Below are 13,762 nucleotides of genomic sequence, written 5' to 3'. Positions count from 1 at the left end.
GAGTTGCAGAGTGGAGTTGCAAATTAAAAATAAATAAATAAATAAGTTAATAAATACCAGCTTCTATTTAAAAAAAAAAGCTACCACATTAGAGATTAGAAGAGCACCATTCAATAGAAATCTAATGTGAGATAACAAAGCCAGACAAAAATATCACAGAAAACTTCAGACCAGTAGCTCTTATGAATATAGACATAAAGGTACTCAACAAGGCTGGGCGCGGTGGCTCACGCCTGTAGTCCCAGCACTTTGGGAGGCCAAGGCGGACAGATCACAAGGTCAGGAGATCGAGACCATCCTGGCTAACACCGTGAAACCCCATCTGTACTAAAAATACAAAAAATTAGCCAGTGGTGGTGACAGGCTCCTGTAGTCCCAGCTACTCAGGAGTCTGAGGCAGGAGAATAGCGTGAACCCAGAAGGCAGAGCTTACAGTGAGCCGAGATGGCGCCTCTGCACTCCAGCCTGGGCGACAGAGAGATTCTGTCTCAAAAAAAAAAAAAAATTTAACTCAACAAAACCCTAGTAAAGCAAGTCTAGCAATATATAAAGAGGATTATATACTATGACCAAGTGGAATTTATCCTAGGAACACAAGGTTGATTTAACATCTGAAAATCAATTAAAAGTAGTGGCCAAGACCGCAATTACTTTTGCACCATCCTAATAATACACCATATTAATAGAAAAAAGGACAAAAAACACATGATCACCTCATAGACTCAGAAGAAAACATTTAACAAAATTCAATATCCTTTCGTGGTAGAAACACTCAACAAATTTGGAATAGAGGGGAACTTCTCAGCCTGATAAAGAGCATCTGTGAAAAACCACAGCTGGCCAGGTGTGGTGGCTCATGCCTGCAATCCTAACACTTTGGGAGACCAAAGCAGTAGGATCTCTTGAGGCCAGAAGTTGGAGACCAAACCTTGGAACACAGTAAGACCCTGTCCTACAAAAATTTTTTAAAAAAACAACCCTCAGCTAATATCATACTTACTGGTGAAACGTGTGATTCTTTCCCCCTAAGATGAGGAACAAGACAAGGGTGTCTTCTCTTACTATGTCTCTAGAACAAGCAAGCATGTTTTATTTATTTATTGATTGATTGATTGATTGATTTTGAGACAGAGTCTCACTCTGTTGCCCAGGCTGGAGTGCAATGGCTTGATCTCAGCGTGTGCAACCTCCACCTCCTGGGTTCAAGCAATTCTCCTGTCTCAGCCTCCCGAGTAGCTGGGATTACAGGCATGCGCCACCAGGCCTGGCTAATTTTTGTATTTTTAGTAGAGATGGGGTTTCACCATGTTGGTCAGGCTGGTCTCAAACTCCTGACCTCGTGATCCACCCACCTCGGCTTCCGAAAGTGCTGGGATTACAGGCGTGAGCCACCACGCCTGGCGCAAGCATGTTCTAAAAAAACCTTAATAGTGAGTTGGTGGCTGTATGGTTCTATCCAGGGCAATTAGGTAAGAAAATGAAGTAGGCCAGGCGTGCTGGCTTACTCCTGTAATCTCAGCACTTTGGGAGGCCGAGGAGAATGAATTGCTTGAGCTCAAGAGTTCAGGGCCAGCCTGGGTTTGGGCAACATGGCAAAACCTTGTCTCTACAAAAATTACAAAAATTAGCAGGTTGTGGTTGTGTGCACATGTAATCCCAGGTATTTGGGAGGCTGAGGTGGGAGGATTGCTTGAACCCAGGAGGCAGAGGTTGCAGTGAGCCAAGATTGCACCACTGTACTCTAGCCTGGGCAACAGAGTGAGACTCTGTCTCAAGAAGAAAAAAAAAAAAAAAGTTGGGCTCTGTGACTCAGACCTGTAATCCCAGCACTTTGGGAAGCCAAGGCAGGCGGATAGCTTGAGCTCAGGAGTTTGAGACCAGCCTGGGAAACATTGATGAAACCCTGCCTCTACAAAAAATACAAAAACTAGCCAGGCATGGTGGCACATGCCTGTGATCCCAGCTAGTTGGGAGGCTGAGGTGGAGGATAGCTTAGGCCCAGGAGGCAGAGGTTACAGTGAGCCATGATTGCGCCACTGCACTCCAGCCTGGGTAACAGAGTGAGACTCTGTCTAAAAAAAAAGAGAGAATGATTTGATCACGTTATTAACATTGTATGATATCTGTCAATGGTCTTGATCATCATCAATAACAGTTGCGTTAACAGTAGTGGTGGTGTTTGTGAGATTGCTATTGACATATGGTTGATCAGATTCAGCTCCTGAATCTCCCTACCTTCTTGAGGGGTGTTTTTGAAAGAATAGGACATTGTTTGTAAGTACCAAATCTTTTTGCAGAACCGCCTCTATCAGGCCATTCAGAGAGCTGATGACATCTTGGACCTGAAGTTCTGCATGGATGGAGTTCAGACTGCTTTGAGGAGTGAAGATTATGAGCAGGCTGCAGCACATACTCATCGCTACTTGTGCCTGGACAAGTCGGTCATTGAGCTCAGCCGACAGGGCAAAGAGGGTCAGCATCCGAAACTGTTGGTTTTTAGTTTAGTTAAAATCATCTGTAATCTGAAGTAAGCAGACTCGACCAATAAAAACACATCAGTTTTTAGGAAGTTTTCTTTTTTCTTTTTCTTCTTTTTTTTTGAGACGGAGTCTTGCTCTTGTCAGGATAGGGTGCAGTGGTGCCATCTTGGCTTACTGCAACCTCCGCCTTCTGGGTTCAAGCGATTCTCCTGCCTCAGCCTCCTGAGTAGCTGGGACTACAGGTGCACACCACCACACCTCACTAATGTTTTTTGTATTTTTAGTAGAGATGGGGTTTCACCATGTGGACAGAGTGGTCTTGAACTCCTGATCTCTGGTGATCTGCCCGCCTTGGCCTCCCAAAGTGCTGGGATTACAGGTGTAAGCTACTGCGCCCAGCCAGGAAGTTTTCTTGTCTGGTAATAGGCCATACGTAGGTCCTGTACCATCCTGGGGCAGGCTTTGTTAAAGCAGTCTCCCCTATGTGTGGTTTCACTTTCTGCCATTTCAGTTACCTGCAGCTTCAGTTATTCATGGTCAACCTTAGTCCAAAAATATTAAGGAAAAATTCCAGAAATAAACATCTTACTAGTTTTAAATTGCTTGCTGTTCTAAGTAGTGTGATAAAATCTTGTACCACCCTGTCTGTCCCTTCATCACAAGAAGGGTAAGTACAGTACAGTAAGATATTTTAAGAGAGAGGCCACATTTGCATAACTTTATCATGGTATGTTGTTATATCTTATTATATATTATTGTTAATCTCTTACTATGTCTAATTTACAAATTAAACTTTATCGTAGGTATGTATGTATGGGAGAAAACATAGTATATTTAAGGTTCAGTACTGTCGATGGTTTCAGGCATCCATAACGGTCTTGGAATGGATCCCCTACAGATAAGAAGAGACTACTGTATTCCCATTTTATGGAAAAGGAAACTGAATCCAGATCTACTGATTCTCTGGCCAGCGGGTTCTTTGCACTTGGCCATATTGCCTACTCATAAAATGAAATTCTTAGCCTGATATTTTAGATCTTCCATGATCTTTACACACTCTGTTTTTCTAGACTTGTTTAATGTTATTCACTTATGCATCCACTCATTGTGCAAGTATTTCTCAAGCTCCTCCATATGCCAAGGAATATGCTACTTGGAATACTCTGCAAATATTCTTTTCATCTTTCTGCTTCTATTCATGTCTTTCATTCCCTTTGCCTGGAATGTTTGTTCTCCTGTGCAGGTATCAGAATCCTGCCCATCTTTGAGAGGTGGGATGTCACCTTCTCTAGGAAGCCTTTTCTGATTACTTTAACCAGAAATGTGACTTTTTGACACCTTTCTTTTTTTTGAGACGGAGTCTCACTCTTTTGCCGGCTGGAGTGCAGTGGCATGATCTTGGCTCACTGCAACCTCTGCCTCCCAGGTTCAAGGGATTCTTCTGCCTCAGCCTCCTGAGTAACTGGGACTACAGGCGCATGCCACCATGCCCAGCTAATTTTTCTATTTTTAGTAGAGGCAGGGTTTCACCATGTTGGCCAGGATGGTCTCAATCCCTTGACCTTGTGATTCAGCCATCTCGGCCTTCCAAAGTGCTGGGATTACAGGCATGAGCCACCGTGCCCGGACTTTGGCACCTTTCTTATGACACATCATGTACTGTATTTCATCATCTTGATTTGTGCACAAACTATCTCTTCTACCTGATCCTAACTTCTGTGATGGTAGGATCAGGGCTGATTCATCTTGTAATCATGCATATTACTAGCACAGCATCTTGCACATGGTAAGTGCTTAATACGTATTTGCTGGATGAATAGTATTACACAAAGTGGCATGGACCTGCCACAGTACTATTCTTTACTTGAATTTTCATTTTCTCCCTGTTGAGCAGGGAGCATGATTGATGCCAACCTGAAATTGCTGCAGGAAGCTGAGCAACGTCTCAAAGCCATTGTGGCAGAGAAGTTTGCCATTGCCACCAAGGAAGGTGATCTGCCCCAGGTGGAGCGCTTCTTCAAGATCTTCCCACTGCTGGGTTTGCATGAGGAGGGATTAAGAAAGTTCTCGGAGTACCTTTGCAAGCAGGTATGGACCCTGATTGCTTGGCAGGATAATTGTGTGGCTGTCTGCCTGCAGATTGGGGCACTGGATGGATCCAGTTTCTGTGGATACTTTCTCTCTTCTGGATATGACTCCCCTTCCTGCCCTTGCTGTGTAGCCATGCAGGACTGGATGCATGTGTTCATTCAACACACCTGTTGCCAGCCTACTGTGTACCAGGCATGGCCAAGACATCTGCCAGTGCACATTCATTTCCAACAGACCAGGCGAAAGCATGTGAAATTAAAATGCAAGTTCTCTGACAAGTTGAATCACTCTTTTTTTTTTTTTGAGATGGAGTTTCACTCTTGTTGCTCAGGCTGGAGTACAATGGCATGATGTCAGCTCACTGCAACCTCCACCTCCCTGGTTCAAGCTATTCTCCTGCCTCAGCCTCCCGAGTAGCTGGGATTACAGGCATATGCTACCACGCCCAGCTAATTTTGTATTTTTAGTAGAGACTGGGTTTCTCCATGTTGGTCAGGCTAGTCTCGAACTCCCAACGTCAGGTGATCCGCCCACCTCGGCCTCCCAAAGTGATGGGATTACAGGTGTGAGCCACCACGCCCAGTCTGAATCACTCTTAAAGCTCAAGCAATCCTCCTGCCTCAGCCTCCCAAGCAGTTGAGACTGCAGGCACATGCCACCATGCGTTGCAATTTTTTTTTTTTTTTATAGAAACGGTCTCACTGTGTTACCCAGGCTGGTCTCGAACTCCTGGCCTCAAGCAGTCCTCCCACCTCAGCCTCCCAAAGTCCTGGGACTACCACCCCACCTGGCCGTTTTTTAGCTATATGTCTGTGTGTGTCACTCCCCTCCCACAAAAAAATTATCAGACCATTATTATGCCGTTAAGAAAAATGATACCGTTCCCTAAGTGCTGACATATTTTATTCTGTAACATGTGGTTTGTTAAACGGCACAAAACAATATGTTGTCATTCCTGTTTAAAATGAGGGAGTTAGCAATCAAGATATATTTGTATAAGCAGAGGATTTCTTTTGGAAGGGTTAACAATGGTCACCTCTGAAGAAAATTGGGAAATTAAGAGACACAGGTTAGAAGAAGAACCACTTTTCACTGAATATTCCTTTGTTCCTTTGGAATGTTTAAGTGTGCATTTTACTCATTCTAAAAAGTTAATTAAAAACAAAATACAGGCCAGGCGCGGTGACTCACGCCTGTAATCCCAGCACTTTGGGAGGCTGAGGCGGGTGGATCACCTCAGATCAGAGGTTCAGGACCAGCCTGGCCAACATGGTGAAACCCTGTGTCTACTAAAAAATACAAAAATTAGCCGGGCATGTTGGCGGGTGCCTGTAAGCCCAACCACTCGGGAAGCTGAGACAGGAGAATCGCTTGAGCCGGGGAGGCAGAGGTTGCAGTGAGCCAAGATTGTGCCACTGCACTCCAGCCTGGGCGACCAGCGAAATTCCATTTCAAAAAAAAAAAAAAAGGAAACCTGCTCTATGGTACTTTTTTTATCAGTATACTTTGACATCTGGGACCTAGAAATGGCTTCTACCTTTAATCCAGTAAAAGTCCCTTCTGCAGTACCCAGGTTTTGTCGTGCTTGAGAAAGCACTGTTAATGATAACATGCCAGGCATAATGGCTCACGCCTGTAATTCCAACACTTTGGGATGCTGAGGCAAGAGGATTGCTTGAGGCCAGGAGTTCCAGACCAGTCTGGGCAACATAGCAGGACCCCATCTCTACAGAAATTTTTAAAAAATTAGCCGGGCATGGTGGCTCTCGCCTATAGTTCCAGCTACTCAGGAGGCTGAGGTGAGAGGATCACTTGAGTCCAGGAGTTCAAGGCCACAGTGAACTATGACTGTGGCTCCCTTGTACTCCAGCCTGAGCAACAGAGTGAGTTTCTGTCTTATTTTAAAAAATAATAGAAAGTTACCCTTTGAGAAGATTGTTGAAACTGGGGACTCTCTCCCTTGGCTAATGGCAGTCCATATTTTCCAAGAGAAGAAAATAATGGAAGAGGAGCTACACCATGCTCACTTTCCTTGTCCTGCCTGAGGCTCAGACTGTCCCTCAAGGGAGTTTCCTCTGTGCTGCCTGGGCTTCCAGACATCAAGGGAAATGTGAAAAAAAAGAAAGTCAATGGGAGGATTTTTGGAAAACTGAGATATACCTGGTATGAGGGTGACCTTTCTGAGGAATGTGTGTGGGTTTTCTCCTTTTTTAGGTGGCCAGTAAAGCTGAGGAGAATCTGCTCATGGTGCTGGGGACAGACATGAGTGATCGGAGAGCTGCAGTCATCTTTGCAGATACACTTACTCTTCTGTTTGAAGGTGAGCCTCTTTCTCCGCTCTAGAGAGACTGGAGACTGTATATGACACCTGCATCCTAGCCTTTCTTCTCACCCTTCTAGCCTGATGACTTTAATTTAATCATGTAGTTTATTGTGTATTAATTGATTGGAGAATTAAATAACTTCCAGATTCAGTGCCTGATTAGCAAAGATTAGAGTCTCTCCAGTGTTTTGATCCTACCTAACCCTCAAACCCCAAACTCTGTACGAATAAATTTAACCCTAAAATAAATTACTGGAAAGCGAGTGATGCTGATTTCCAAAGATGCTGCTGTAGAAAACAGTATCAATGTAACTTACCAAATGCCTGCTGGTGTACCAAGCACTGTACATATTTAACATATTTGCCTAGCAACCCCTAGCATTGACTAGGCCTATTTGTGTTCATTTTAGAAAGTGAAGCAGCCAAAAGGATTGAGCTAGACCTTCGGTTAGTCCTGGATGGGAGCAAGTTTATTTTGTAGGAAGAATACTTGGAATATAACCCTATTGCTTCCTCCCTTCTAGGGATTGCCCGCATTGTGGAGACCCACCAGCCAATAGTGGAGACCTATTATGGGCCAGGGAGACTCTATACCCTGATCAAATATCTGCAGGTGGAATGTGACAGACAGGTGGAGAAGGTGGTAGACAAGTTCATCAAGCAAAGGGACTACCACCAGCAGGTGAGCAGGGGAAGCTACAGGTAGGGTTTGGTAGCAGCTTTAGCGAGGAACACTGAGTAGAATAAATTGTAGGGTTTGAAAAAGTGAAAAAAAAGGTGCAGACAGGAGAAAAATAAATGCTAAGCGCACACTGGCCTGCATCTTGCCCATTGACAGCTTACTTTGGACTTGAGGTGTTGTCGAGATGATGATGGCCTCAGTTCAAGACCAAAACGGAAATAAAAAGAGCTTCCTGAAAAGAACACAGCAGAAGTAGTAAACCAGTTCTCTATCACAAAATGTGCAACAGTGCCCTCTAATGATATAATGACAATTCTATTTCTTGAGGTCCTATTAAGTGTCCAAGTAATTGTCTCCAATTTCCCCTTCATTCCTAAGATGTTAAAGATAACGTTTGCTTTTTCAGAACTTTGTTTTTTCCTTCTTTTGAGCAGAGAAAGTAAAAGTACGACATAGAAATAGGAGTGGCCTCATACAATTGTATTTCTAGAACTCCAGACTAGGAGACTATAAACAGTAGTCTATTGGAACACCATTAGCATGACTTTTAAGCACAGTAATAGAGGTGAGTATTATTAGCATCCAACCCAAAAACAAATCTTTGGCCTGTCATCCTGAAAGCCCACTGCTGGCTTGAAGGGAAGGTAAACCTGGTAAACAAACTAAATCTAAATGTTCTTGTATGCCAAAAGTTTGGAGTGACCAGCAAGAGGCCAATAGATGTGGGGGTGGGGAAGAATATTCTCATTCCTGTGGTATGTTGCAGTTCCGGCATGTTCAGAACAACCTGATGAGAAATTCTACAACAGAAAAAATCGAACCAAGGTAATAATCCTTCTCTCTTCTTCAGCCCACAGGAGTTTGAATTGGTAATCATGTAATATAATTCAGACTACTCTGTTACAATGTGGTCTATGTTTTTAAAATATTTTATCAATTACTCTTATTTTTCAGTGCAATGTATCATATGAACAAAAGTATATATAAATAAATTGTGTAATCAGTCATAATCAGCCGGGCGCGGTGGCTCACACCTGTAATCCCAGCACTTTGGGAGACCAAGGCAGGCGGATCACAAGGTCGGGAGTTCGAGACCAGCCTGGCCAATATGGTGAAACCCCGTCTCTACTAAAAATACAAAAATTAGCTGGGCATGGTGGTGCGTGCCTGTAGTCCCAGCTACTCGGGAGGCTGAGGCAGGAGAATCACTTCAACCCAGGAGGCGGAGGTTGCAGTGAGCCAAGATTGCACCACTGCACTCCAGCCTGGGTTACAGAGCGAGACTCTGTCTCAAAAAATAAATAAATAATAAATTATAATCAGTACAATCACGTGTCATTTAATGACTGGAATACTTTTTTTTTTTTTTGAGACAGAGTCTCACTCTGTCACCCACGCTGGAGTGCAGTAGCATTATCTTGGCTCACTACAGCCCCTGCCTCCCAGGTTCAAGCGATTCTCCTCCCTCAGCCTCCCAAGTAGCTGGAACTACAGGCGTGCACCACCATTCCCAGCTAATTTTTTATAATTTTAGTAGAGACAGGGTTTTGCCATGATGGCCAGGTTAGTCTCGAACTCCTGACCTTAAGTGATCCGCCCACCTCAGCCTCCCAAAATGCTGAGATTATAGGCATGAGCCACCATACCCTGCCAACAACTGGAGTACATTCTGAGAAATACATCATTAGACGATTTCCATTGTGTCAACATCGTAGGGTGTACTTAGCCTACTACACACCTAGGCTATATGATACAAACTATTACTCCTAGGGTATAAACCTGCATGGCATATTACTATACTGAATACCATAGACAATTATAACACGATGGTAAGTACTTGTATATCTAAACATATCTAAACATAGAAGAGGTACAGTATTATGTACTGTACCATAGAAACATAGAAAAGGTATAATATTATGGGAACCCTCTTGTGTATACCGATACAGTTTTTTTTTGTTGTTGTTTTGGGGTTTTTTTGCTTTTTTGAGATAGGGTCTTATTTTGTTGCCCAGGCCAGACTGCAGTACGGTGGTATGATCCTGGCTCACTGCAGCCTTGACCTTCTGGGCTCAAGCAATCCTCCCACCTCGGCCTCCCGAGTAGCTGGGACACATATCAGTAGCTGGTGTACACATATTGTACACCACCATGCTGGGCTAATTTTTGTATTTTTTGTAGAGACGAGGTTTTGCCATGTTGCCTAGGCTGGTCTCGAACTCCTGGGCTCAAGTGATCCTCTCACCTCCCAAAGTCTTCCCAAAGTGATGGGATTACAGGCATGAGCCACCATGCCCAGCCCAGCAGTTCATTTCTGACCAAAATATTCTTATGTAGCATGACTACACTTTTGAAGCCCCCAGAGTGACTCTCCTCTTCCCTTCCCACAAAGGTAACTACTATCCTAAAATTTTAAACTTTTACTTTTTTTTTTTAAATTAGAAACAGGGTCTCTGTTTCCCAGGCTGGAGTGAAGTGGTACAGTGACACAATCACAGCACACTGTAACCACCAACTCGTGGACTCAGGCGATCCTCCAGCCTCAGCCTCCCGAGTAGCTCCTGACTAGCTAGGATTACAGTCACCACTCCCAGCTAAATGTTTTTTTTTTTGTTTTTTTTTTTTTTTTTTTTTTTTGAGGCAGTCTCGCTCTGTTGCCCAGGCTGGAGTGCAGTGGCATGGTGTGATATCGACTCACCAAAACCTCCACCTGCTAGGTTTAGCGATTCTCCTGCCTCAGCCTCCCAAGTAGCTGGGACTGTAGGCAGGTGCCACCACGCTCGGTTAATTTTTTTGTATTTTTAGTAAAGATGAGGTTTTTTTTAATTTAGACGGAGTCTCGCTCTGTCACCCAGGCTGGAGTGCAGTGGCACGATCTCGGCTCCCTGCAAGCTCCGCCTCCTGGATTCACGCCATTCTCCTGCCTCAGCCTCCCGTGTAGCTGGGACTACAGTCGCCCACCACCATGCCCAGCTAATTTTTTTTTTTTGTATTTTTAGTAGAGACAGGGTTTTACTGTGTTAGCCAGGACGGACTCGATCTCCTGACCCTCATGATCCACCCACCTCAGCCTCCCAAAATGCTGGGATTACAGGCATGAGCCACCGCACCCGGCTGAGATGAGGTTTTGCCATTTTGGCCAGGCTGGTCTCAAACTCCTGACCTCAGGTGATCCACCCACCTCGGCCTCCCAAAGTGCTGGAATTACAGGCATGAGCCACCATACCCGGCCAATTTTTTAATTTTTGGTAGAGATGAGGGCTTGCTATGTTGCCCAGGATGGTCTTGAACCCCAGATCTCAAGTGATTCCCCCTGCCTCAGCCTCCCAAAGCACTGGAATTACAGGCATGAGCCCCTGTATCCAGCCAAACTTTTATTTATTTCATTTATTTTCTTTTTTTGAGACAGAGTCTCACTCTTTCGCCCAGGCTGAAGTGCAGTGGCGCTATCTCGGCTCACTGCAAGCTCCACCTCCCGGGTTCACGCCATTCTCCTGCCTCAGCCTCCTGAGTAGCTGGGACTACAGGCGTCTGCCACCACGCCCGGCTAATTTTTTGTATTTTTAGTAGAGACGGGGTTTCACCGTGTTAGCCAGGATGGTCTCGATCTCCTGACCTCATGATCTGCCCGCCTTCAGCCTCCCAAAGTGCTGGGATTACAGGTGTGAGCCACCGCACCCAGCCTACTTTTTTACAATAAAAATAACATGTGCTTCTTAGAAGAAAATCCAGTGGGTGCGGTGGCTCACGCCTGTAATCCTAGCACTTTGGGAGCCCAAGGCGGGTGGATCACGAGGTCAGGAAATCAAGACCATCCTGGCTAACACGGTGAAACCCTGTCTCTACTAAAAAAAAAATACAAAAAATTAGCTGGGTGTGTTGGCGGGTGCCTGTAGTCCCAGCTACTTGGGAGGCTGAGGCAGGAGAATGGCGTGAACCCGGGAGGTGGAGGTTGCAGTGAGCCAATATCGTGCCACTGCACTCCAGCCTGGGTGACAGAGCGAGACTCTGTCTCAAAAAAAAAAAAAAAAAAGAAAATCCAAACGTAAAATATATTCATTCAACCAAAGTTTTACTGAGTACACATGTGCCAGATACTAGTCCTTGATATGGCAACAAGCAAAGTGAGCAAGCAAACATAATTTTTTCTTCGTGGCATCTATGGTCTATAAAGTAGATAATAGCAATAGCTAATACATATGTAATGTCAACTGTATGCCAGACACTATTCTGAACACTTAACAAATATTAAATCATTTAATCCAAGGTTTCTTAACTTCTGCACTAACGGCATTTTGACTGGATTTTTTTTTTTTTTTTTTGAGACAGTCTTGCTCTGTCACCCAAGCTAGAGTACAGTGGCATGATCTCAGCTCACTGCAACCTACGCCTCCCGGGTTCAAGCAATTCTCCTGCCTCAACCTCCCAAGTAGCTGGGATTACAGGCGCCCCACCAGTGTGCCTGGCAAATTTTTGTATTTTTAGTAGAGATGGGGTTTCACCATCTTGGCCAGGCTGGTCTCAAACTCCTGACCTTGTGATCCACCCGCCTTGGCCTCCCAAGTGCTGGGATTACAGGAGTGAGCCACCATGCCCGGCCTCTTTTTTTTTTTTTTTTTTTAAATAGAATCTCACTCACTCCGTCACCCAGGCTGGAGTGCAGTGGCTCAATTTTGGCTCACTGCAATCTCCGCCTCCCAGGATCAAGCAGTTCTCGTGCCTCTGCCTCCTGAGTAGCTGAGCTTACAGGCACTCACCACTATGTCTGGCTAATTTTTATATTTTTAGTGGAGAGGGGGTTTCACCGTGTTGTCTAGGCAGGTCTTGAACTCCTAACCTCAGGTGATCTGCCCGCCTCAGCCTCCCAAAGTAGTGGGATTACAGTCGTGAACGACTGCACCCAGCCTTGACTGGATAATTTTTTGTTAGGTGGGGACTGTTCTACGCATTGTAAGATGGTTAGCAGCATCCCTGGCCTCTATCCACTAGATGCTAAAATACCCCAGGGGGGTATGGGTAGGGGAATGGGGGAGCTGGGAATAAAATCGCCCTCAGTAGAAAATCACTGATTTAATCCATAAACACTTTCCAGAGGAAGAAACTGAAGGCTGGAGAGGTCAGATGACTTGCCCAAGGTCATGCAGCTAGAAAATGGCGGTGAGAAATGGAATCCAAGCAGTCTGACTCTAGAGTGGATGCTGTCAGCCACTGTGATATACTGAGTGTAGGGTGCAGGACAGCATGTCATAAAGAGATGTAGCCTAGTATGGGAAAGTTGAAGAAATAATTCCTGAGGAAATGACCTTAGATCTGAGACCTTAAGAGTAAGTAGGAGTTGGCCGGGCGCGGTGGCTCACGCCTGTAATCCCAGCACTTTGGGAGGCCGAGGCGGGCGGATCACGAGGTCAGGAGATCGAGACCATCCTGGCTAACACGGTGAAACCCCGTCTCTACTAAAAATACAAAAAATTAGCCGGGCGTGGTGGTGGGCGCCTGTAGTCCCAGCTACTCGGGAGGCTGAGGCAGGAGAATGGCATGAACCCAAGAGGCGGAGCTTGCAGTGAGCCGGGATAGCGCCACTGCACTCCAGCCTGGGCGACAGAGTGAGACTCCGTCTCAAAAAAAAAAAAAAAAAGAGTAAGTAGGAGTTAAGATGTGAGGAGTATTCCAGATAGAGCAAGGAAAGCATGTGCAAAGGTCATGTGTATTTTAAAAACTGAAAGAAGGCCAGTGTAGCTGAAGTTCAAAGAGTAGAGGAGAGCCTGAAATGGTGGATATGGAGAGATCATTAGAGTCAGGCTGTTAAGAGTCTTGTATTCTGAGAGGTATGGAAACTATATGATATGACCAGATTTATGTTTGTAAAGATGTCTTGGGGTCAGGTGCCAAGGTGGCTCACACCTGTAGCCCCAGCACTTTGGGACGCAGAGGTGGGCAGATCACTTGAGCCCAGGAGTTTGAGACCAGCCTGGACAACATGGGGAAACCCCGTCTTTACCAAAAATACAAAAATTAGCCAGACATGGTGGCACATGTCTATAATCCCAGCTACTTGGGAGGCTGAGGTGGGAGGATTGCCTGATCCCAGGGAAGCTGAGCCTGCAGTGAGCTGTGATTGTGCCACTGTACTCCAGCCTGGGAGACAGACAGTGACCCTATCTCAAAACAAAAAAAGAAAGAAAGAAA

At 45.1% G+C, this 13,762-nt stretch overlaps 1 protein-coding gene across 4 annotated transcripts in view; it reads left to right on the top strand.

Annotated features, from left to right (window-relative positions):
- Positions 1-13,762, top strand: part of COG4 (component of oligomeric golgi complex 4) — a 42,988-nt gene that overhangs the window by 6,748 nt on the left and 22,478 nt on the right. For 3 of the 4 annotated variants that reach the window (NR_158212.1, NM_001195139.2, NM_015386.3), the window contains exons 4-8: positions 2,298-2,472; positions 4,375-4,568; positions 6,786-6,891; positions 7,419-7,576; positions 8,343-8,401. Coding sequence is in view for 3 of the 4 variants with exons in the window: in NM_001195139.2 (NP_001182068.2) it covers positions 2,298-2,472; positions 4,375-4,568; positions 6,786-6,891; positions 7,419-7,576; positions 8,343-8,401 (692 nt within the window). In the remaining variant the exon portion in view is untranslated. Of the gene's footprint in view, positions 1-766; positions 940-2,297; positions 2,473-4,374; positions 4,569-6,785; positions 6,892-7,418; positions 7,577-8,342; positions 8,402-13,762 lie in introns of all 4 variants that reach the window. The other variant, NM_001365426.1, reaches the window with a different exon arrangement.

This window comes from Homo sapiens, chromosome 16 (genome assembly GCF_000001405.40).
Source record: "Homo sapiens chromosome 16, GRCh38.p14 Primary Assembly".
Taxonomy (NCBI): domain Eukaryota; kingdom Metazoa; phylum Chordata; class Mammalia; order Primates; family Hominidae; genus Homo; species Homo sapiens.
The sequence above is the reverse complement of the archived record's forward strand: the minus strand, read 5'-3'. Positions and strand labels throughout refer to the sequence as shown.